Source organism: Homo sapiens, chromosome 5 (assembly GCF_000001405.40).
Source record: "Homo sapiens chromosome 5, GRCh38.p14 Primary Assembly".
Lineage (NCBI taxonomy): Eukaryota > Metazoa > Chordata > Mammalia > Primates > Hominidae > Homo > Homo sapiens.
Genome location: NC_000005.10, coordinates 293,913 through 317,503, shown reverse-complemented (window position 1 = coordinate 317,503; position 23,591 = coordinate 293,913). Strand labels below are relative to the sequence as shown.

At 53.6% G+C, this 23,591-nt stretch overlaps 1 protein-coding gene and 1 long non-coding RNA gene across 7 annotated transcripts in view, besides 6 other annotated features; both read right to left on the bottom strand.

Annotated features, from left to right (window-relative positions):
• PDCD6-AHRR (PDCD6-AHRR readthrough (NMD candidate)) overlaps positions 1-23,591 on the bottom strand; it is a 166,640-nt gene that overhangs the window by 120,782 nt on the left and 22,267 nt on the right. For both annotated transcript variants that reach the window (NR_165159.2, NR_165163.2), the window contains exon 3: positions 13,283-13,327. This is a non-coding gene — a long non-coding RNA (PDCD6-AHRR readthrough (NMD candidate)). The remainder of the gene's footprint in view (positions 1-13,282; positions 13,328-23,591) is intronic.
• PDCD6 (programmed cell death 6) overlaps positions 2,530-23,591 on the bottom strand; it is a 43,329-nt gene continuing 22,267 nt past the window's right edge. For 2 of the 5 annotated variants that reach the window (NM_013232.4, NM_001267558.2), the window contains 4 exons: positions 13,283-13,327; positions 10,744-10,902; positions 6,102-6,211; positions 2,530-3,087 (listed from right to left, as the gene is read on the bottom strand). In NM_013232.4, coding sequence (NP_037364.1) covers positions 2,989-3,087; positions 6,102-6,211; positions 10,744-10,902; positions 13,283-13,327 — 413 coding nt within the window. In that variant the 3' untranslated portion in view covers positions 2,530-2,988. The remainder of the gene's footprint in view (positions 3,088-6,101; positions 6,212-10,743; positions 10,903-13,282; positions 13,328-23,591) is intronic. The other 3 variants (NM_001267556.2, NM_001267559.2, NM_001267557.2) reach the window with 3 other exon arrangements.
• Positions 9,827-10,711: an enhancer, noted in NCBI's record as "H3K27ac-H3K4me1 hESC enhancer chr5:306908-307792 (GRCh37/hg19 assembly coordinates)". NCBI's record gives its function as "activates a minimal SCP1, AML or CMV promoter by ChIP-STARR-seq in primed H9 embryonic stem cells {active_cell/tissue: H9 hESC(primed)}" and the evidence as "EXISTENCE:reporter gene assay evidence [ECO:0000049][PMID:30033119]".
• Positions 15,247-15,752: an enhancer, noted in NCBI's record as "H3K27ac-H3K4me1 hESC enhancer chr5:301867-302372 (GRCh37/hg19 assembly coordinates)". NCBI's record gives its function as "activates a minimal SCP1, AML or CMV promoter by ChIP-STARR-seq in naive H9 embryonic stem cells {active_cell/tissue: H9 hESC(naive)}" and the evidence as "EXISTENCE:reporter gene assay evidence [ECO:0000049][PMID:30033119]".
• Positions 15,753-16,258: an enhancer, noted in NCBI's record as "H3K27ac-H3K4me1 hESC enhancer chr5:301361-301866 (GRCh37/hg19 assembly coordinates)". NCBI's record gives its function as "activates a minimal SCP1, AML or CMV promoter by ChIP-STARR-seq in naive H9 embryonic stem cells {active_cell/tissue: H9 hESC(naive)}" and the evidence as "EXISTENCE:reporter gene assay evidence [ECO:0000049][PMID:30033119]".
• Positions 19,968-20,496: an enhancer, noted in NCBI's record as "H3K4me1 hESC enhancer chr5:297123-297651 (GRCh37/hg19 assembly coordinates)". NCBI's record gives its function as "activates a minimal SCP1, AML or CMV promoter by ChIP-STARR-seq in naive H9 embryonic stem cells {active_cell/tissue: H9 hESC(naive)}" and the evidence as "EXISTENCE:reporter gene assay evidence [ECO:0000049][PMID:30033119]".
• Positions 20,497-21,025: an enhancer, noted in NCBI's record as "H3K4me1 hESC enhancer chr5:296594-297122 (GRCh37/hg19 assembly coordinates)". NCBI's record gives its function as "activates a minimal SCP1, AML or CMV promoter by ChIP-STARR-seq in naive H9 embryonic stem cells {active_cell/tissue: H9 hESC(naive)}" and the evidence as "EXISTENCE:reporter gene assay evidence [ECO:0000049][PMID:30033119]".
• Positions 22,327-22,497: a silencer, noted in NCBI's record as "fragment chr5:295122-295292 (GRCh37/hg19 assembly coordinates)". NCBI's record gives its function as "represses an EF-1alpha promoter that drives an FKBP-Casp9 reporter gene in an ReSE screen in phorbol 12-myristate 13-acetate-treated (for megakaryocytic differentiation) K562 erythroleukemia cells {active_cell/tissue: K562(+PMA)}" and the evidence as "EXISTENCE:reporter gene assay evidence [ECO:0000049][PMID:32094911]".

Here is a 23,591-nt window from a genome sequence, read left to right as displayed (position 1 = left end):
GTCCACCCCCTCCACCCCCAAACCCAGGCTCTGAAGGGTCACAGGGCACAGCCTGCCTGACAAGGGAGAGCTGAAAGGGCGAAGGCCCGTCTCTCTGTAGTCTTCTCTCTGCGGCTATAAATCCCATGGCTGTGTCGGGCAGGTCCTCCCGGTCAGTCAGCAGCTCCCGAGAGCTCCGTGGTGCAGCCGCACTGCCCCCACGTGGCCCAGGCTGTGTGCAGCTGCCTGGCCCTTGGGGCCTCAGAGTGCAGTGAGGTTTAGCTCAGGGGCTTCCCTCACCCAGGAAGGCGTGGGTGGCCTCCCTGCAGGCGCCTGAGGATGGGGTCTGTGCTGGCAGTGTGGCTGGGCAGGGGGCACGGCAGCCCTGCTTCCCTGCGGGTTGGCACCCCCTCCACAAGGAATCCACCACAACTCGTGAGCTCACTGCCCTCCAGGGACCCCCAGTTTTGTATCAGTGACTCCGGCCAGGAGAGCAGGGGAGTCCCCCCTCCACACCTTCTGCTTCGAGAGGCTCCTCACCGCCTCCCTCCCTTGACTTCTGATGGCTGGGAGCTCCCCGGGGAAATGTCCCTCCCAACAGCCACAGCCCACCAGCCCAACAGGCTCTCTGCATCCAGGGGTTCCTTTGCCAGCAGGCCGGCCTGACATGCGTTTGTCCAGCGCTCTACCCCTGCTGGTCCTCCAAGCGTGTGGTGCAGCGGCCCCACCGCCCTCCTCACCCTCTGCTGAAGAACTTCTGCTCTGGAATTTTCAGCGGCTTTTGTTCTTGTGAGTCTTCATGGAGGCCCCTCTCCAAGGCAGCCTCCCCGAGCTGCCTGCAAACAGGAGCCCCCATGGCAGCCACGTGCAGAGTACCTGAGGGTACCTGCACCACACACCTGAGTGTACCTCACACCTGTGAACCTGCCACACCTGAGCATACCAGAGACCTGAGAAACACACTTTATCTCCATCAGAGGAACCTCTCATTGCTGTGAAAAGGAAGGAAGGAAAATCATCCACAATCTGACCTTTTCTCTATGAAAGTCTCCGTCTCACCTGGCCTTCGCCTGCTTTCTAGGAGTATGGAGCTAACCGCCACACACAACATTCCTTCCCCGGCAGCTGATCCACAGGATGAGCACATCGGCCTTGGTATCAACTGTTGGCCCGTATCATCCATGGAGACATGTGCTGGGGGCAGGTGTCTCACCAGGGCTGACAGCTCCTCCAGAGTAGCAGGCTTCCCTGACCCAGGTAGGAATCCAGAGGCCAGAGAAGCTGCAGGTGTGGGGTGGGGGTTGCCCACTGCACAGGGGACAGCACGGGCAAGGGCCTGGAGACGTGGCTGGGAGGGCTGCAGGGTGGCCGCAGCAGCTGCCCTCACCCCAAGCACAGAGACCTCACAGGCCTAAGGCTGAAGGAGGAGTGAGGGCAGCTCCCAGGGTGGGGTGGGTGCAGCTACTGGACACTGAGTCCAGGTGCCCATGAGGCGAGGGAGAAGTCGCTGGGCGCCTGGCCGTGGAGGCCTGGGTGAGGAAGGCCTCATGGAATTGGGAGCTTGCGGCCTGGACAAGGAAGTTGACCTCATGGAGTAGAACTTGGGGTCATCTGCTGCAGAGTCATGGGGGTGTCAAGGTCTAGGGAGGCACCCGGCGTGGATTGCTGGGGATCCTCAGAGACTGCCCTGGGATCCCCATGACTGAGGTCATGAGGGAGCAGCCAGACCCCCAAGCCCACATCCCTCCCCCTCCCATCCCCAGGGAGCCTGGAGTGCCTGCTCCAGAGGGATTCGTATCCAGAGGGCCCCAGGCCAAGTGCAGTTGGGCAGTGGGGGAGGTCTCATCTGGAGCACAGAAGCAGCCCCAGTCCCCACCCCCCACAGCACACCTGCCCAGCTTAAGAGACTGGGGGCTTTTTCCAGGAAACCATGCTCCCTGCCCCTCACCCCTCAACACACCGAGCAGAGGTTTGAACAGATCCCAAGAGACCAAAACGAACAGAGAAAAGTCGTGCACAACTGGGTGGAAGGAGCAGGCTTTCTGAGACCAGAGGCTGCAGCCCCAAAACCAGACGCATCACTGTGGAAGGGAAGCGTCTGGAGAATGAGGCTGGGCCTCGGGAGTGTCAACCCAGGAGGGCCGGCGCTGCACAGTGAGGCAGGGAGGCGGACCGGGCAGCGCTGGCAGTGGACCGAGGTGAGCAGGATGCGCTGGGTGGACAAACGCTGCAGGCCACGTGCAGAGACTGCAGGGCACAGCATGGCTAAATCATTAATGATGGAAATGCACAACCTGCTATACCAAATTGGATTTCTTCATCCAAAAGGAGCAGTCTTATGAAATTTAACCTCCTGAACAGAGGGTGAGACAGTCCCTCTGGATTTTCACAAGCAGAGCTGTGCACGCTGGGCTGGACAATGTTCCAGAAGGTGCCCGGTACCCTGGGAGGTCCCAGGCAAGCCAGAACATCTGACACTGACTGTCTGGAGGACCAGGGCACGGGGCCTGGTTCTTGGACCTATTTGATTTGAAAAGCTGAAGGCAGACCACACGTCTAACATTCCCTTTATTGCTTACGTCACATATTCCAATGAATACAATAAACTCCTTTTTAAAAAAGTAAGGCACATGAAAAGCCTTTTGTGTAAGTTCCATGTTATTTTAAAATTCCTATTGGCTAATAAAAGCATTTGCACTATAGAACCAGAGACATCTAGAAAAGCACATGATAGATTTTTTTGCAAGCAGAATGCCTGAAACATTACATTTACCTCATGGCACAATGAGACAGTCACCAAATCCAATGTCTGCATTAGAACGATACAGCTACTATTACAGTTGCAAAACCATTAATCAGCTTATCCACATATGTACAGCTGGGTCCCCACGTGACAAAATCTAAAGGAAGAACAGCATCTAACTGCACCTGTGCTCCATTCCCTCACAGATAGGAACTGTGACATTTTGGCTCTTTCCATGTTGTGCTGCTCTTCACGAGAGGCCAGGGTCATACGATACTGAAGACCATGGACAGGTACTGTTCGTACGACACCTGAATCCAGCCGTCCTGATCCGTGTCGTAACGTCTGAATATATCCGTCAACCTCTGGGGAGAAAACAGGCATTTAAATCTCGATAGTAAATGGAAGGAGCAAGGTGCACTGGGACAAAGGCATGTAGGGACCCAATTTCAGAAGCACACACGTCTTCTGGGCTCCCTGATGGAGCCCAGCACAGGGAGGCGCAGGTGGGGCTGGAGCTGTTCACACGGACGGTGGGAGTGCGAAGAACGAAGAACACAGGGCTGCGGGGCTGGCTCCGGACATCCAGCCCTGGCTGAGCCCCTGGCTGAGCCCCTGACCCCAGGCTCTGGTCTCCTGAGTCTCCTGGGGGCCTGGGCCCTTCCTTCTCCCCCTGAAGACCGTCCCGTGGAAGCCCTCCACCCTCCAGTGGCTCGCCTCTGCTGTGGGGGCCACCTGGGGCATGTGCAGCGCAGGGGATGCCCAGCCAGATGGGCTTGTGACATCACGAGGGCTTCAGGTTCCTCCAGCCCAGCCCACCCCTCCCTCTCACAGCCGAGGGTCCAGGCCAGGTCAGCGGCAGAGACAGGGTGACCACCTACACTCCTGAAACAGGGATGGTTAAGTAAGTGACACTTCAACCGTAAAATACCCTGAAGATTCAGGCCAGCATGGTGACTCTCGCCTGTGATCCCAGCACTTTGGGGGTCCGAGGCGTGAGGATCGCTTGAGCCTGAGGGTCGAGGCTGCAGTGAGCCGTGTTCGCACCACCACACTCTGGCCTGGGTGATGGAGCAAGGGTCTGTCTCAAGAAAGAAGAAGAAAATGTGGCAGGGAAGACACAGCGTCCTCGCACATCAAGACCTGCAGGAACATGGACAGGGTGTGGTGACTCTCGCCTGGGATCCCAGCTACTCAGGAGGCCAAGGCAGAAGGATCGCTTGAGCCTCAGGGTCAAGGCTGCAGTGAGCTGTTTACACCACCACATTCCAGCTGGGGTGACAAGAGTGAGACTCCATCTCAAAGAAAAAAAAACAACCCTGCAGGAATGCCACAGCCACCACCGGGCTCCTTGACTTGGCAGAGGCTACGGCCTCACCCAACTCCAAAAGCACCGCAATGGATAATGCTGGCTTAAAGAGTAATGGGTAATTTTTCTTTCTATTTTGAATACTTTGTGTTTTTCTAGGGTTTCTAGAAGTGTTCATGTTATTTGTTAGAAAATAATTTTCAAAAAGCCTTTATCCTTTCAGAAAAAGCAGATAAATAAAAACGTTTTTGAGGGAATTTTAACTTGAGGTCTGCAGCTTTCTTTTCTTTCCCATTCCCCATCTGTCTAGCGTTTAGGGTCACTCTCCAAGGGTGGGGACAGCCTGGGAATTGGCTGTCAGGCCCTCCCCACGTGGTCTGGAGCAGGGCCTTGAGGAGGCATCTCCCAGGAGGAGCTACGCTGGCTGCAGATGTGCCTTGGAAGGCGCTGGAGAGGTCGCTGTGAGGCCGCCTGTGTTACTCCAGCTACCGAAAGCTCACACAAGATCAACGTTAACTTATAGAACATAACCTCAAATGAAGATCTGAGCCCTACGGCAATTCAGACACAGAACCTCAAATGAAGATCTGAGCCCTACGGCAATTCAGACACAGAACGAGATTTTACACGGCATCTTTTCCCTTTTTCTTTTCTTTCTTTTTTAAGACAGGGTCTGGCTCTGTCACCCAGGCTGGAGTGCAGTGGTGTGATCTCGGCTCACTGAAACCTCCACCTCCCGGGTTCAAGTGATTCTCCTGCCTCAGCCTCCTGAGTAGCTGGGACTACAGGCATGCGACACCAGGCCCAGCCTACACTTTTTTGAAAGTGTTCAGAGAACATTGTAAAAATGTCATCCAACCTGGCAGGAACCCCGAGAGGCAGGGGCAGGAAAGGGTCCCCAACCGTAGAGTTTTGAAGCTTCCATGTTCACAGACCTGGTTCTCCAACAAATCCCTGAAGAACAGGGACTGATGCATCCATGCCAAATCAGAGGAAACTCACTTTTACAGATCTAGCATCTTAATTATTATACAGAATAAACAATTTGGGAACGTTTTCCAAATTTCCACATTATTTCTAAAAACCCCATGCTGTTCCTATCTCTCACTGAATTCCAAGGCCAACAAGACAGGACCTTGAGGAACCTGGGTAGAGACCTGGATCACCACCTGCAAACAGCAGCAGAGGTCTGTGTGGAGCTCCCAGGCGGGTCCCCTGAGCCCTGCTCTCCATCTCCCGTGGGTCTCAAAGAGAGCCCAGCAGGAGAGACACCACCAAGGAGCTTGCCTTGCAGGTCAGGGTGCATTACCAGCTCCTGCAGACACTGGAGTGCACGGGAAGAGCTCGGAGACCCCACTGAGGGCGGCCTGAGCGACCACAGGCTCCACAGCTGACCTCACACACAGACGGCAGGACACAGTGATGACCACAACAGAAAACGTGCCCATTTTCTCAGAATAAAAGTTTTTGTAAAAATACACCATAGTTGGCCAGGCATGGTGGCTCATGTCTGTAATCCTAGCACTTTGGGAGGCTAAGGTGGGCGGATTACTTGAGGTCAGGAGTTTGAGATCAGCCTGGCCAACATGGCAAAATCCCGTCTCTACTAAAAATACAAAAATTAGCTGGGTGTCACCTGTAATCCCAGCTACTGGGGAGGCTGAGGCAGGAGAATTGCTTAAACCCGGGACGCAGAGGTGGGAGTGAGCCGGGATCGTGCCACTGCACTCCCGTCTGGGTGACAGAGCGAGACTCGGTCTCAAAACAAAACAAAACAAAACAAAAAACAAAAAAAACCACAACACCAGAACATACATGTAAATAACCCACCGGATACTGAAAAACCACGTCTTGCAGATGGGCTGCTCTGTGCCATTTCCAAGGGGAGGAAAACATGTTTGTCCACACTTCACTAACCGGCTACTTCTCCAAAGATGAGACTCACTTTTATAAGCTCCAAAAACTAATTCTACACATGCCCAGCTCCTTAGATTGAAGGTCAGGTGCATCACGCTGGCAAGCAAGCCCCTCCCACCACCACCACAAACCCACGTGAAGCCATTCCGTCACCTGCAGGACGATGCAGCCCTGGATGAAGTCGTCGAAGGCAATCTGCCCCCGTCCCTGCCTGTCAAACTTTCGAATGAGGATGTCGTGGAACTGGTCAGAGAGCCGGTAGCCTTCAAGAGGGAAAGTCAGAGTCAGAGAAGGCTGGGAGAGACGGGAGGTATGTGCCAACACTCACCCCTCCTGCCCAAGGCCCACAGCCTCTAACACACACAATGCAAGGCTGTGTGGGAACGGAAGTGCAAATTCCCTCAAAGGCACTCAGAACTGAGACACTTCCCGAATATATCATTCTGTAATGAGCTGACATCCCCAGTGCATGGAGTGACCCCTTGAGACCATGACCCCGGAAGGAGGAGTGAGTGGGACGCTGCCATTAGTCACTCCTGTGAATTAACTACTCACCTCCGGGAAGCACTCACCAAACACCACCCCACAGGGCGGCCACACTCAGTTTCCTGAACCCAGTGGAGTTACTTTCAAAGTCCTTATTGATTTTATTATGTTTATTAGCCTAGATAAGAAAATTCTGAATGATTCGCTGCCCTGGGTTGCCCATCACCAGATAATGCTTTGAAAACTAAAATTTCACAGAAGGCTTCCAGTTATACAAAGTGACAATGTCAGGAAATGGGAGTGGCTGGGGGATGTGCCCCCACCTGCCAGGAGGGACTGAAGGGCACGCAGTGGCAGGGTGACCTCGGAAAGGTCCAAGTCACTGCAGGGCCACCAAGGGCTGGGATTCCGTTTCCAGTTCACCAAGGCTGTCCTGAAAAAGGCCTCCCACAGGGAGAGGGCTCTGAAGACATGTGGATGCAGCAGGTGTGTTCGGGCACCCCGGAGGGCATGCCCCGCCTGCCGCCTTCCCTTCCCTCCCTCGAAATCCCACTGCCTTCGTGACTGTGGCATATCCTTACTGACTCAGGAGGCAAGATCCAGGTGCTGATATATTTCTACTGGTTTTCAGTCCTGCTGGAATCTCTGCAGGGACGTGTGCACCTACTCTCTGAATCTCACAGTTAATGACCTGCACAAACAGCCATTTTACGGATCAAGAGTCAAGCACACAAACATGAACACAGTGCCTTCCAGAGTGGTCAGGGCATTCTGTCATTTAAGTTCAGGGGTCCCTAAATGTGCAACAGCGGAGTTGCCTCGGACCCTCCTTCCTTGCAAGCTGAAAAGACAGGACCTCCCATTACATTCAGAAAGAGATGGCAGAGTTGTCAACAGCTGCCACTTTTTCTGGTCCCTACTACTCCCACCTCCTCACTCCCTGCACCAGGGCTGAGCCCAGCCTGCTGAGAACAGAGCCTGGGACAGGCCCACAGGGACATTGCCTGTCTGGGAGTGCATGGGGGACAGAGGCCATCACTGGTGTGCACGGGGACGGCGGCCATCACTGGGGTGCACGGGCACGGCGGCCATCACTGGTGTGCACGGGGACGGCGGCCATCACTGGGGTGCACGGGGACGGCGGCCATCACTGGGGTGCACGGGGACGGCGGCCATCACTGGGGTGCACGGGGACGGCGGCCATCACTGGGGTGCACGGGGACGGCGGCCATCACTGGGGTGCACGGGGACGGCGGCCATCACTGGGGTGCACGGGGACGGCGGCCATCACTGGGGTGCACGGGGACGGCGGCCATCACTGGGGTGCACGGGGACGGCGGCCATCACTGGGGTGCACGGGGACGGCGGCCCTCACTGGGGTGCACGGGGACGGCGGCCCTCACTGGTGTGCACGGGGACGGCGGCCCTCACTGGTGTGCACGGGGACGGCGGCCATCACTGGGGTGCACGGGGACGGCGGCCATCACTGGGGTGCACGGGGACAGAGGTCATTACTGGTCTCCTGCCAAGGCTGGGGAAGGACAGAGGAGATGCTGACAGAGGCAGAGGAACTCCAGTCTGCACAGACAACAGGAGCAACCCCACTGCCTCTGGAATTAACTTCCAGTTTCCTTGGTCATCAGTAATAGTGAAGGGAAAAGAAAGGCAAAGTCAGACAGCAAAATGAGGGATGAACAAACGAACTACAAAAAGAATGTTTATCTGAGAAGCCAAAATCCAGAAGCAACTGTTTCTGAGTTTCTGTTCATGAAAGTCAGTCCACATGAGGCCACCAGCGTCCCTGGGCCCACCCCTGACACACCCCTTGCCAAGGTCTTTCTCCTCTTTCGGACTCTCTGAAATGCTGTGAACGAGCCAAGCGGAGCATGACCTCCTCAGAAATCACCTCTTCCACCTCGGAGGACAAACCAGCTGCCCCCACTCAACAGGCTGAGGCTCCCTGGGGCTCCCCCCAGCTCTTGGGGGCCTGGTACAGTGGCAAAGGACCACAGCGGAGGAACTGTTCTCCGCCCGACTGCCTTTGTCAGACACGCACTGCCCACCAGAGGGGAGAATCTCACCGGCTGTTTACAGCAACCTAAACGGCACGTGCTGAGTCAGCTGTCCCGGTGCCGGGTGGTGAGTGCTGGAATGTGAGCACGCCTTCCTCACCTTTTCACTTCAGGTCTCTGAGCATGGCACACAGTTGATGTTAACAATAAAGGCTTAAAAAAACGAATCGGTGGATTATGAAATCCACCATGTGGCCCCATCAGAGACACCCGGGGAGAAATCTCGCAGGCTTCACCACCCTGGTGATTCCCTCCTGCTGGCCACCAAGCTCCAGTGCAGCCTCCCTGCTTCATCTGAGAGCAGAACACTTGTTCACAGGGGCCAAGACAAAAGAAGAATTTTTGCTTCTGAGGCCAACTTCCTAACAGTTACTATGGGAAATCTTTCAAAATCATCAAAATACAAAAAGGATGACAATGCCCCTTTCCAAGGAAGACGTGGGAGATGGCCCTGGAGATCAAGAACCAAACGCAGGAGGAAACTCGTGAGGGTAACCAGAGAAAATGCTGCGATGGGATGCCGCACCCCAGGAAAAACCTGGAAGTCAGGAAGGGTTCTGCCGCTGCACAACACAAGCAGGCCTGCCCACTCCAGGGCGGGAGGAAGGCTGCGTGACCGGCCGTGCCTCCCGCCACAGCTAAGCACAGTTTTCTGGGAAGTCCTTGGCCAGACCAGGACGAAGAGGGCCTCAGAGACCAGGGAGCACTGTCCACAGCAACTTCCACTGCACATTCTGAGGACCGATGGTCACTGGCATGGACAAAGGGAGCTCCAGGGCCTGACAAGGTTAGGAAAAGATGTCCGTGGCGCCAGAGGTCGCTTATCTAAAAATAACTTCAGGCCGGTCCTGAAGTCCACGTGGCCCTGGCCGCAATCGGCAGCACTGGCCTCCCTGGCCCCCAGGACCACTCTCTGTGGAGGGTGGCATCCTTCCCTCCCAGCCCTTCCGTACCTGCCCCAGGGAAGAGGAGCCGGCCAGCGTTCCCTCCAGTTCCCCCACCCAAGGGCACAGCAAGGTCAGCTGCATTCCAAGTACCAATTCAGAGCCATCCAGCCCAAATCCTGGCTCGCAGCTGGTCAGCTCAGAACTGCTTCTTGAGGAGACCCAGTGTCCACCCCCGGCCCTGTGGACAAGCTCGTAAGGTGAGAAAGAAAAGAGAAAGAAAGGCAGCCACAAAGTGCATGCTGGGAGGAAACACGAGGAGAGGCGACGTGCTTAGATAAGTGAGACTCCAGGGATCTCGGAGGTACTCAAGTAGAATCGAATTTTCCTCACTGTTTCTAAGGAGCCTTTTAAGCAAATCACGGAAGCGGCTTCACAACAGGGGCCAGATGAGATCCGCATGGATTAGAATCTCGGTGCAGCCACCAACAGCCTCAGGCTGGCCCCAAACATGCCCGTTGTTCCTCTGTAAATAAAACCCCTGCTTCCTCTCAGCCCTGAGAGCAGCACGGGAAGCCCCGTGGACAGGCCCTATGGACGCACTCTGGACAGGCACTGTGAACACTCCTAGACCCACGGCACACCGTCACATGTGTGTGTGCACACGCGTCAAGCACACACACGCTGAGCGCACCTGAGAATGGGCACGCGTTCTGCCTAACGCCCCTTCTGAGGCGCACGGCACACGTGTGCACACACACGCCGAGCACACACACGCCGAGCACACCTGAGAATGGGCACGCGTTCTGCCTAACGCCCCTTCTGAGGCGCACGGCACACGTGTGCACACACACGCCGAGCACACACACGCCGAGCACACACACGCCGAGCACACCTGAGAATGGGCACGCGTTCTGCCTAACGCCCCTTCTGAGGCGCACGGTTTGGACCTGGTGACTGACAGCTGTTTCTTAGGTGACTGTTGCCTTTTCAACGTGCTTTGATCTATCATGAAATATAAGCTGCCCTGCCCCACGGTATTTTCATGGATCCACTTTTAAATGATTTCAAAAGCCACATTCTCAGTTTTGCTCACGACATCATTCCACTTCAGAAAAGATGAACGGCTTGCATAGCCCTTATCTCATTTTGGATAAAAACCTGAATAAACGTATCCATGTCGAGGATCGCCTTCCGACATGAGCAATATCAAATATGAACCTGCATGACGTCAACAAAAACTTTACGTAGCCTGGTTAGACAATCAGTTAAGTCCAACAAGGTTTAAAGAACTTCAACGGCTCCAAGGTTCCAAAATGAAACACGCTACACAAGCCAGAGTGAGTGAGTTACCGAAACCTGAGAGGGCCTGCTTCAGCTCGTTCTTATCGATCATCCCGGAGTTGTCCCGGTCGTACGTGCGGAAGACGTTCTGCCAGTCCGTGATGTACTTCCACACACCCGTGAACTCGCTGAAGTTCACGCCGGCCTTGTTCTCACGGTCAAACATGGCTGAGACAGAGAGGAACGGTCAAGCAGCAAAAGATCAGTTGCAGCAAACTCACTTGAGGCTTCCCACCAGACCTCAGCCCTCAGAGCCTGGCGGGGCCCCACTGCTGACCACTAACCAGGGACTGGGCAATGCATGCCTGTCTGTGAATGGGGTGAAATCCCTTAAAGTCTTGTCACCTTCGCCCTGGGTGGGGGTGTGGGGGATTGTCCCCCAGCCCTGACCCCCTAAGTCCCAGGAGAAGGTGCACTTGCAGCTGTGAGGCAGGCCGTGCAATGGGATGTGTGAGGAAATCCAGCCGCAGCCACGACAGAAAGAAGAGCAGAGCTTCACACTCAGCTTCCGAGGCACGGGGAAGGTAAGTGGCCCCAGCTCCCCTGGCTCCTGGGTCTCGGCCTAGAACGCGAATCTAATTCCCAGAGCTGACCCTCTGACTCTCCAGGGCCCACAGCACTGGTGGAGTCTTGGAACAGCCCTGTCAGGAAAACCTGCTTTAATTAGAAACAGACCCTCGCCTATGTCCTATTTGCTTTCAGTCTAACTCCAGGTCCAAATACAAAAGAATCTATAACTACCTTTATATGTAGTTGCAATATGGCTAAAAAACATAGAAAAATTCAGTGTGAATTACTGCTGCAGAGAAAATGATAAATCACGTGGTCTCTTTTCAAGAACAGAGGTTAATACAGGACTGCAATAAGACTACTCCTGGTTTGATCAGAAATATGTTACAATTAAATGAAAATCCACAGGATGAAAAATCATGTGAGAAACAGCATCGATGTTTCTTCCCAACAGTCCACAACCCTGTGTGCAACCAGTGGCTGTTTTTCACACAACCGTTCCACGACGTGCACCGTTCCACGACGTGTGTGGTGTGTGGACCAGGGGCTGTTTTTCATACGACCATTCCACGATGTGTGCAGTGTGTGTGGACGATGCTGTTGCGTGCAGGACCCACTGCGCACCACACACCAGCAGGGAAGGATGCTGGGTGAGCTGCACCCCAGGGTAAGGGCTCCGCAGAGGAGTGGCTCCCAGGCCATTCCTCTCCGGTGGGGAGGTAGCTCCCCATGTATCAACACCTTTTCTAGCACTAAAGGCTGAGCCCTGCCACTACTACACTTCCAAGTTTTCTCTCCCTCCATCAGTGTGACGTAGCAACATATGCACGACCAGCAGGGCACAGTCATCTGGAAAAGCCCCCAGCTACACCCACACTAGGACTCAGACACCTCACCACACACAGGCTCCGCAAGGAACTCAGGGAATCCTCACAAGACTAAAACACGTGCATGGATGGGAGGCGAGGGAATGAGCCCCAGGCCGCTCTGGGAAACCTCGAGACACAATGCCATGGTCCCTGTGAGGCAGAACTGAACCTGGGATTCCATATTAAAGAGGTCTGAAGGGGGCTGCACCTCCCAGCAAAGGGAACCTTCCAGAAATCAAGTCGGGTAGGGATGGAAACATGACTCTCCTGAACACCTGCCTCCCAGGCCTGCCTGCCCCTGGAGCTGCAGCTCCCACCTGGCTACGGGGGATGGAGACACAGCACGACTCTCCTGAACACCTGCCTGCGCCTGGAGCCTCAGCTCACACCCCGGCTACCGTCTGGGCATGGGGGTGCACACCTGTAATCCCCACTTTTTGGGAGGCTGAGGCAGGAGGATTGCGTGAGCCCAGGAATTCCAGACCAGGCCTGGGCAGCACAGGGACACCCTGTCTCTTAAAAGAAACAAACAAAAACCCAGCTGCCTATACAGCTGGGGAGACCCTGGACCCAAAGAAATGATGCAGACCCTCACATTAAGGCTACACATGAACCCACAAAACAAACAAAAATTACAGAAGCATCAAGGAAGTTGGTCACTCTGTGTGGGCTTGAGCAGGAAAAATATCTGGCTGTAGACCACCCTCCCAAGGACTTCAAACACAGTCAAGGAGCTCCATGTCACAAATATCTAGCGCTTTTCAAAAAAGCATGTTCTTAAAACTGAAGACTATCATATGAAATATTTGAATAAAGAATGGAATCACAAAAATAAATAAGCAATGTCTATCAAAAACACCCAGATAAGATGTGAAAGTAACTAATAATTTAGAAATTTTAAATATATGTCATCTTTAGAATTAGAAACTGAAAGGACAGGTTACACCGTACATTAAAAATAAACAGAATCAAGAATAGAGCAAACATACACGGAGAGATGTGAAAAGGTACAGAGACGGAGGGAGAGGGATGAAAGGGCCGACGCTCATCTAAGTGGAATTCCAGAAGGGAGCAAAGTGATACGGACCCACAGACAAAGGAAACACAAGCGGGTACCCAAGCGGGTCGGATACAAAGCAGCCCAGGTTGGTCCGTCTGCCGATACTTACATATGATCGACCTGACAGTCACTGGATTAAAGGGAGTCCACGTGCCTGAAAACAAACAACAACAGGAGTTAAAGTAAAAGGAAAATCTTTCTGGGACACTGAGTTTGTGATCTATACCTGGAGGCACCAGGAAAAGCAGTGGGGGCTCTAAGGTAGTGGTTTTCTAGACACTCCAGGTGACGTGTCGGCTGCCATGACTCCTGGGAGGGGGCCAAAGCACTGCCTGGTGGGTTCACACCCTGCTGTGTGTGGGAGTCCTTCGTGGCCTCCCAGACCTCCAAGGCCGTCCACAGTCATCGCGGCTGGACATGCACTCTTATTTAACAGATAACCAAGAAATGGTTCTGTATCATTTTACACACAGAATTTTTCAAGGATGCAGTCACCAGCTAAGTTGAGAAGTTCGCACTTAGTTTTGTTAGAGGACTTCACGAATTCCCATTTCAGAAAATCCATCATCAAGGCCACCACTGCCTGCAGACACCTGAACATAGCTTGGTCGCTGTGGCATTCACACTAATTCTACTGAAAGGTGCAAGTACCAGACCCCTTCCTTCCGTTCTCCCTCAGTAATCATCCTAAAGCACGGTGAAGACATCCATCACACCACACTTCAAACATTCCTGACAAATTACGGTCTGGGCTTTATATGATTTTCCTTGAAACTGAATAGGAAAGCTGTACTATCCTCAGACTCATCGTTGAATCTGATACCCTTGAGCGCTCACAACCATTTATCAACTCTGAGAATGAAGATTCACTGATGACCTTCGCACACAAGAACCTATCTTCAGAGTGATTTGTACCTTCAGTAATTTCCATACTCACTAAAAATGAACTAAAAAAATATTTTTAAGGTCAGGAGAGACCAGTGGCTCTCCTCATACCCCGTCTGTGTTAGACACACAGTTTTTTTTTTTTTTTATGCACAAAAATGCCACAGTCCTGGGCAGTACACAGAGACAGCCCCCTGATCTCAGAGAACAATGTCAGGCTCCTGGTGGAGCACGGGCGGTGGGGTCTGCTGGCATGGTCCCTTAGGCCTCTACGTGCCACCACTCTGGGCTCATGGGGCTCCTCCTAGTGCCATGCCCGCTCTCACCTGAAGTGCGTCCCCTCCTAAGACACACACACCCTCCCTCCAGCTCCTTCCTTTCCTTCCTCAGGGAGACTTCCACGGGGGTACCACATTCTCCCAGCCCAGAAGTTAAATCCATTTGCTCCGCCTGAGCACCTCCCAACTTCCCCTTGGGAAGATCCCGCCCTCCAGCAGTTATGCAGGGAAGCTGTGCTCTTCCCACAAAGGCAGGTGCACCTGAACCTGAGGCATACACACAGAGCAGCACTCAATGATCCGCCCTCCAGCAGTTATGCAGGGAAGCTGTGCTCTCCCCACAAAGGCAGGTGCACCTGAACCTGTGGCCCACACACACAGCACTCGATGACCCACCCTCCAGCAGTTATGCAGGGAAGCTGTGCTCTCCCCACAAAGGCAGGTGCACCTGAACCCGTGGCCCACACACACAGCAGCACTCGATGACCCACCCTCCAGCAGTTATGCGGGGAAGCTGTGCTCTTCCCACAAAGGCAGGTGCACCTGAACCCATGGCATACACACAGAGCAGCACTCGATGACCCGCCCTCCAGCAGTTATGCAGGGAAGCTGTGCTCTCCCCACTAAGGCAGGTGCACCTGAACCCGAGGCATACACACACACACACACACACACAGCAGCAGCACTCCATGACCCGCCCTCCAGCAGTTATGCAGGGAAGCTGTGCTCTCCCCACAAAGGCAGGTGCACCTGAACCTGAGGCATACACACAGAGCAGCACTCCACGACCCACCCTCCAGCAGTTATGCAGGGAAGCTGTGCCCTTCCCACAAAGGCAGGTGCACCTGAACCTGAGGCCCACACACACAGCAGCACTCGATGACCCGCCCTCCAGCAGTTATGCAGGGAAGCTGTGCTCTTACCACAAAGGCAGGTGCACCTGAACCCGAGGCATACACACACACACACACACACAGCAGCACTCCACGACCCGCCCTCCAGCAGTTATGCAGGGAAGCTGTGCTATTCCCACAAAGGCAGGTGCACCTGAACCCAAGGCACACACACACACACACACACACACACACACACACACAGAGCAGCACTCAATGATCCGCCCTCCAGCAGTTATGCAGGGAAGCTGTGCTCTTCCCACAAAGGCAGGTGCACCTGAACCCGAGGCATACACACACAGCAGCACTCGATGACCCGCCCTCCAGCAGTTATGCAGGGAAGCTGTGCTCTTCCCACAAAGGCAGGTGCACCTGAACCTGAGGCATACACACACAGCAGCACTGGACGACCCACCCTCCAGCAGTTATGCAGAGAAGCTGTGCTCTTCCCACAAAGGCAGGTGCACCTGAACCCGAGGCATACACACAGAGCAGCACTCCACGACCCACCCTCCAGCAGTTATGCAGGGAAGCTGTGCTCTCCCCACAAAGGCAGGTGCACCTGAACCTGAGGCCCACACACACAGCAGCACTCGACGACCCACCCTCCAGCAGTTATGCAGGGAAGCTGTGCTCTCCCCACAAAGGCAGGTGCACCTGAACCTGAGGCATACACACACAGCAGCACTCGACGAGCATCTGTTAAGCTGAATAGAGTGATAATCTGCAGGATTACCTTTCTGTAGGCTTTACAAGTATCTGAAAGGAGAGTAGACAGGTATATGTATATAGAGGTATTCAGAAAGGTCGGAATTACTGAAAACTAGTGTTACAAAAAGCAAAGATAGGCTACAGAAAACCCACAAGGCAAAGAAAGAGGAAAACTCTAAACACCAAGGAGCATCCCTGCCTCACCCAATTCCATCTGGTCTCCCCCGTTCTTCACCGCTGTGTGCGGCAACCTAGTGTCTGCACACAAGGGTGACCTGCTCTGACCCAGCGCTGACAGAAGCCCCAGGAGCCAAAGCCCCTGGAAGCCTCCTGGGCAATCAATCCTCTGTCTTCATGCCATGAGCTTCTTCTCCTCTGTCTTCTGCGTCCGTGGCCCTGGATTGACTGTGTGGAGCTGGATGAGACCTAAGTCCTCAAGTGAAGGCTGCACTGTGACGTGTCCTGATCATAAGCAGAAGCTTCTCTGGGCCATCTCAGCAAATAACACGGTCAAACAAGTTTTAAACCAAAGCAACACAGGTTAAAACACAAGCGAGATGTTAACGCCGCAGCGCAGGCACAGGGAGGCTCAGGTGCCATCTGGACGGGCACGCATGGAGTGTGCCGTGATGGTGCATTCCTGAGAGCTGGGGCCCAGGAGGAACCGGACGGCCATACTGGGGTCTTCTGGAGTATTCTAAGGATTGCCCAGGAGAGCAGAGGTTGTCCCGGGATTAATCAAGGATGAGAGAGGCAGCCACCCCACTAGAAAGGGCCGCTGAGGGATGGACACTCCTGATGTCTCCACTCGCCTTCCTTGCCAACCACAGCGGGGTCTGGCTTCTCCACAGAAACCAAGAGAGAACCACCACAAGGCCTAACGGCCCGTAACGAGCTGAAGCACCGTGGCGCACAGGCATTTCACGCCTCGGTTACATTAGGTGCTAGACATACCTGGGCAACCGCCTGAAAACCTAAGTAGATGCTGTGCTTTGCCCAAGGCCATGGAGTCACTTGTCACCAAATCCCAAGCCTTCCCCTGAAGCCCTGCCAAGGTGAGTTTCTGGTGAAAGCACGAAAGACTGCATGGGGGTCCCTGAGACCACCCTCCAACTTGAAAGGGTACAGAGTAAACCAGCCAAGGGAAAGGGCTGCCAGGGAAGCCAGGCGCTTCCAGAGTCCCTCCCAGCGGAGTCACACAGGGTGCGCCGGATTCCTCCAGCAAGAAGCTGGGACAGCTAGTGCCGTGGTGCGGACCAGGGAGGCTCTCCTGAACCTGGGGGTCAGTCAGGGAAGTTCCAGCCACCCACAGCGAAAGCAGGTGTTTGCCATCCATCACCTTGTTGGTCAACTACCCAGGCAAAGTAGTGCAACATGGCTCAAGTCTCTCTCATCAGTCAGAACACTGCAGGAGCTCAGCTCCCAGGAGCCAGCCAAGGGCCCCTCCTGGGAACGTGCAGGGTTTGAGCAATCCACACCCGCTGAGTTAACCCCTTCCCACATAGGCAGATCAAATCTGCTCCATCACCAGGGGCAATAAATACCATCACCCACATCCCTGGGCCCATGTGAGAGAAGGACAGTGATGGGACTGGACATGTACTTTACAGGGCACTGTACTGCTTCTGAGGTCTGATTTTTCTCAGTTCTCTTTAATATGTGATCTCCAAGAGAGCCTCAACTGTATTTGATAAAAAAATAAAAAAAAAAATACCAGCTGGGCGCGGTGGCTGGCGCCTGTAATCCCAGCACTTTGGGAGGCCAAGGCGGGCGGATCACCAGGTGAGGAGATCGAGACCATCCTGGCTAATATGGTGAAACCCCATCTCTACTAAAAATACAAAAAATTAGCCAGGCATGGCGGCGTGTGCCTGTAGTCCCAGCTACTCGGGGGGCTGAGGCAGGAGAATGGCGTGAACCCGGGAGGTGGAGCTTGCAGTGAGCTGAGATTGCACCACTGGACTCCAGCCTGGGCGACAAAGTGAGACTCTGTCTTAAAGAAAAAAAAAAAACCTTCAAAAGAACGTAAGAATTATTTCTTAAAAGTACAGCTTCAGAAGCACAGAGACTTGAAAAAAGTTAATTTCTTATAATTCCAAGATGTTTTGGGAACGAGAGATCAGCACAGAAATTGGGCTAGGAGGATAATGGATGAAACCGATGGGCTGATCACGGTTCCAGCATGGTCTCGCCAGGGAGGTGACGGGGTTTGAGTGCTGCAGTGCAGGACTGGGGATGCCACAGGAACGGGTGCCCCAGGTAGGGCGTCATCCAGGAAGGATGAGAAACCTGAGAACAGCTGGGGGGGAACAGCTGGGGGGGAGCAGCGGAGGGGGAACAGCTGGGGGGAGCAGCTGGGGGGAACAGCTTGTGGGGAGCAACTGGGTGAGAACAGCTGGGGGGAGCAGTTGGGGGGGAGCAGCTGGGTGAGAGCAGCTGGGGGGGAGCAGCTGGGGGGGAGCAGCTGGGGGGGAGCAGCTGGGTGAGAACAGCTGGGGGGGAGCAGCTGGGGGGAGCAGCTGGGGGGAGCGGCTGGGGGGGAGCAGCTGGGGAGGAGCAGCTAGTGGGGAGCAGCTGGGTGGGAGTAGCTGGGGGGAGCAGCTAGTGGGGAGCAGCTGGGTGGGAGTAGCTGAGGGGGAGCAGCTGGGGGGAACAGCTGGGTGAGAGCAGCTGGGTGAGAACAGCTGAGTGGGAGCAGCTGGGGGAGCAGCTGGGGGGAGCAGCTGCGGGGGAGCAGCTGGGGGGGAGCAGCTAGGGGGGAGCAGCTGGGGGAGCAGCTGGGGGGGAGCAGCTGGGGGGGAGCAGTTGGGGGTGAGCAGCTGGGGGGAGCAGCTGGGTGGGAGCAGCTGGGTGGGAGCAGCTGAGTGGGAGCAGCTGAGTGGGAGCAGCTGAGTGGGAGCAGCTGAGTGGGAGCAGCTGGGGGGAGCAGCTGGGTGGGGGCAGGGTCCGCTGGCTGCACGGGGGTGGTGAGAGGAGCCCTTGAGGGCCTGAGAGCAGCGAGGCCGGGAGGAACCCTAATCCCTCATCTGCACATGACATGGGGCCTGCCGGAGCCCCACAGAGCTTGGAACGGAGCTGGGGAGGAGAGTTTGCCAGGCCTCCCGTCCCCTCCTTCTTCCCACTGGGATTGCTCTGCAGGAAGAAGAACCCATCATGTCCTTGTAAATGTGCTGGGGAGAGAACCCCTGACAGTGCCTGGTGCTCACTCCTGGGGAGCCACTGTCTCGGGTGGTCCTGGTACCGTGAAGTTTCTGGGCTCAGGTCCATGGCACCTGGAAAATGTGTTTAAGTGAAATGATCTTCAAAGCCCAAGAGGAAATGTTCCAGGCACCCCTCAGAGACCCCATGAGGCAGGAAGGACAGTGGGGCTATGGGGGCCCCCAGCTTCTCCAGCTCGACCCGTGCCTGGGAATTACCCCTGAAATCATGAGCAGAGCTGGATGCTGGGTCAGTTCTGTGTGCCTGGAAATTACTCCCTGATATCGATAGCAGAGCTGGACGCTGTGGTCTGTGGGACTCTACCCTTAATGGCTTCATTTATTTACGTGGATCTAACCTTATATTTATCTATGTAAAGAAATAAATTTGTCATTTGTTAGATTCACCTGTGCTTGAGATCTCTTTTTAAGAATATTTTCCTAGCCATTAAAGAACATAAGTCGATTTTCTTTTTTCATTTCCCTATTGCTATGTGACAAAAGGTCATATTCTATACTTTTTGTATTAAAGGACTTCAAATTACTGATACTTTGGATGACTTCTAAAGTCTTTGCCATATTCTGAATGAAGAATGTGAGCCCCAGGTTAAAAAGATCAACAATTAAATCACAGGGTGTGTGTTCACCAGGAGGCCTGGTGTCATTTTCTTGTGGGCCGTTTGCGATTGGCTGAGAGGGAAGATCTCGTGCTGTGTTCTCACCACGGGCACAGGTGCAAGGAAGCCCCCAGCAAGTGTGGAATTCCTCGATTGCTTTGATTTGGTGATGGTTTCATGGGTGTTTGCTCAGGTCAAGTCTCACCAAAGTGCACACATGAAATGTGTGCAGCTCTTTGTGTAGCAATTATACCTCAAAAAAGCTGAAACACTTTTACACTTGAAATAATCGAAGTGACATTTTAATCTAAAGGTATACAAATCTATCGCCTACATGGCTGATTTTTCCATGAGAGTCTCATTTACAAGAGAAACACAATTATGAAATCCGTACCCTTTACTTTTTAAGGGTAACGGAAGAAGCATAAGTTTCTGCTAGGACAGCGCTTACGCTCTCCCCCATGTTTATTCCGTGGTTAACCACATGGTAGATCCACAGTGATTCAGGAAGATGAATTATCTGCAACACGCAGAAGTTCAGTCCTCTGGCATGTACGAATCCTGGTGTGGTTTTTGCACAACATTCTGCCTGGGATGCGTGGGGAGAAGCTGTGATAACAGGATCGGGATTCATTCATGCTTCATTCATCTGGGAGGCCTGCGACTGCCCGGCACAGTGTGGGCTGAGCCTCCAGCGCCGAGCACCAGACACTCCACCCTCCTGAGGCACTTGTGCGGATGCAGGTGAGATGCCCAGACCAGCACGGTGTGCGTGGGGGGTCGGGCACCAGAGAACTTGAGATGAGATTCAACTGTGTGGATGGGTCTGGTGGAGGTGGTGGCTCCCGGGCTGGGGAGGCATAAAGACGAATCCCGGTGACCCTTGCCCTGAAAAGCTGCTATGTACATTTAGTAGAAGACTGTCGATGAAAACAGACTCTCAGAAGCAAAGAGGGGCCTCGACGGGCCCCCCCACCCATGTGCAATGCCAGTCTTACTCTCTCCACCCTCGAAGGGAGCGTCCTCCTCACCTTTCTGGTCCACCTTCCCTTGCCTTGCCTGCAATTATCCACTGAATTCCTGCAGCCCCAAACAGTCTTTTTGATGTGGACTACTTTGAGCTCGACATAAATCAATTAATTAGCAGCGTGTGTTTTTGCTGCTTCATCCACTCACACACTATCTGAGACCCATTCATGTCTCTGGGGGTCCCTCACTCGCCTTGCACTGGCTGACTCCACTGAGGGACTTGCTGGGATGTCCTCATCCACCTGCAGTGAACGAGCATTTGGATCTCTTCCCACTTAGGTCTGTGCAAACAGTGACACCAGGTGCATCTGAAATATGCCACGTGCCCAGGTGCACGTGGGGCGTGAACAGCTCCCTGACCCCTCTGTGGCGAGAGAGCAGAGGCCCAGGGTGAAGTGGGGAGGTGTGGGTGTGGGGCCAGGCTGGGGTGGGGGAGAGGACACTGGATTCTGGGCCTTATCTGAGGGTCGAGCAGCAGGTGTCGTGGCCGATCAGATCTGGTGTTGAACTGGCCTGATTGTCCCAGAGAATTGATGTTCATGGTTTCTCTGAATAACATAGAAATGGATCCTTTTGGTCTTAAAACTTGAGAAAGTGACATTTGTCTTATTTGAGTTCCTTTCTTAGGAAACTGACCATCAGGCCTCCCAGGTAGTGTGAAGGAAGAGAGACTCACCAGATCACGCCATCTGGACAGTAAGACGCCAAACCCCTCACCCATCATGAGTGCCTGACCAGCCACCTGCCTCCTCCTGACCAACTCCTCTTCCTCACTCTCCCTAATTCCTGTTTTCCTTACACACAGTCACACTTCTTCCCTGCTATATAGTCAGTCAGGAAGATGGATTTGAAGCTGACCTCCCATCTCCTGGCCTGTAGCTTCTGATGCATGCCTTCTTCATTGGCAGTAACTATCGTCTTAGTGATTGGCTTTCTGTGTGGAGAGCAGCGGGATCTGGAACAAACCCCTGCATTCCGGGAACAGGGAGAGCAGCCTCAGCAGGCCCCGGGCCCTGAGTGCGGTCATGACCACCAGGGACCACCCACCGAAGGTGAATGTGGACAAGAAAAAAAAGGCTCCTGAGGACCCAGCCAGAATTCCTGCAACATCACGGAGAATCATGGCCACCCGGCCCATGCCCCCTTGAAGGGCAGCTGCAAGATTCATCTCATTTGTCTTTCTTTCCTGGACATCTTCAAATTTCCTTCACCACAACCTTGTGATCCTGAGATTCCATCAATATGTGCATTGTTTTACTATATTGCTTTAATTTACTCTGCCGGTTATCTGGAGAAATGCAACCTCATCAGCAGAAATTATTTCCACCCTGCCGCTTTTTAAATGTTATTTCCTATAGCCAGGTACTGAGCCCTTCAATGGAGGTCTAAACCCTCCACTCTCTCCCTCTGGGATTGCCAAGCCTGTGGTTTCAGTTCCATGCTCCCAGGTAGATGATGTCAACTCAAAGTCCAATACGCTTATGAAATACTTTTTGTGGTTTTTTTATTTTAAGAGTTTTTTTTAATATGTTTTTGTTTCATGGAGGTGACACCCTCTGTCTTTGACTTGTGGCAGCCTTCCTCCTTCAGTCTGCGTGTACTGAAGCTAGTGTTTGCTGTACAGCCCCTCAGCCGCAGCAGCCCACAGTGAGGTGCAGGTGCTCACGCCACCGCCCCAGAGAGCTCCTCCATTCGCCCCTCCACCCGTAGCCCCTCGAAACCACTGCCCTGCTCCCCAACACGGTAGCACTGTCTTCTCCAAGATGTCACGTGGCGGCATCCCTCGGCCTGTGCGCACCGAAACTAGCTTCCTTCACTGGGCATGTGGCCTGGGAGACCTGGGGCATTTGGGTGCATCCTTCCACTGCTGGTTGGTGCCCCCTGTGTGGAAGCATCCGCGTTGGTTCCCGCCTCCTCCTGCCGATGGACATTTTGTTTTCTTCCAGTTATTGGCAATGAGGAATGAGGCCTAAACACTTGTGTGCAGGTTTGTGCATGCACGTTTAAGTTTTCTCTTGGGGGACGTTTCAGGAGCGGGGTTGCTGGATGACAGGGTAAGGATGTGCTTAACTTCGTAAGAAACTCCCGGACCACTTTCCAGCATGGCGGGACCCCTCCCATTCCCACTGCAGCTTATGAGGGTCCCAGTTCCTCTGCATCATCACTAGAACCTGGGTCGGCCTGTGGTTTTTGTCTGTTTTTAGCCATTTTAATAGATTTGCAGAGGTACTGTTGACTGGCATTTCTCCAGCATCTCTACGACGTTGAGCCTCTTTCTCGGGCAATATGCCCTCCTTATACCTTCTTTGATGAGGCCTCTGTTCCAATATCTGCCCTCTCTTTAATACTGGGGCTTTTACTTTCTTATGGTTAAGTTTTGATGGTTCTTCACATATCCTGCGTGCCAGTACGTTGTGAGACGTGTGATTCACAAATGTTTATTTCTAGACCATGGTTTGTGTTTCATTCTCTTTAGATTTTTATATTGCTTTATAGCATTATAATTTTAAATTTATGACAATTTAATTTGTCAATCTTTTATGAATCATGCTTTTGGTGTCATGTCTAAGAACTTTTCGCCCAACCCCAGGCCATACAAATTTTCCTGTGTTTTTATCTAAGGGTTTTATAGCGTTATGTTCTCCATTTAGGCCTGTGATAAATGTTGAGTAACATTTTGTGTCAGCCATGGCCATACCTTTCTCCGTCTCTGACAGTATCGCGGGCGTTTGCAGCTCCCAGTGCCTCGTGCTGTTCCCGTCTTCTTGATCTGCTCTTCCTGTCATACCTTTCTCCGTCTCTGACAGT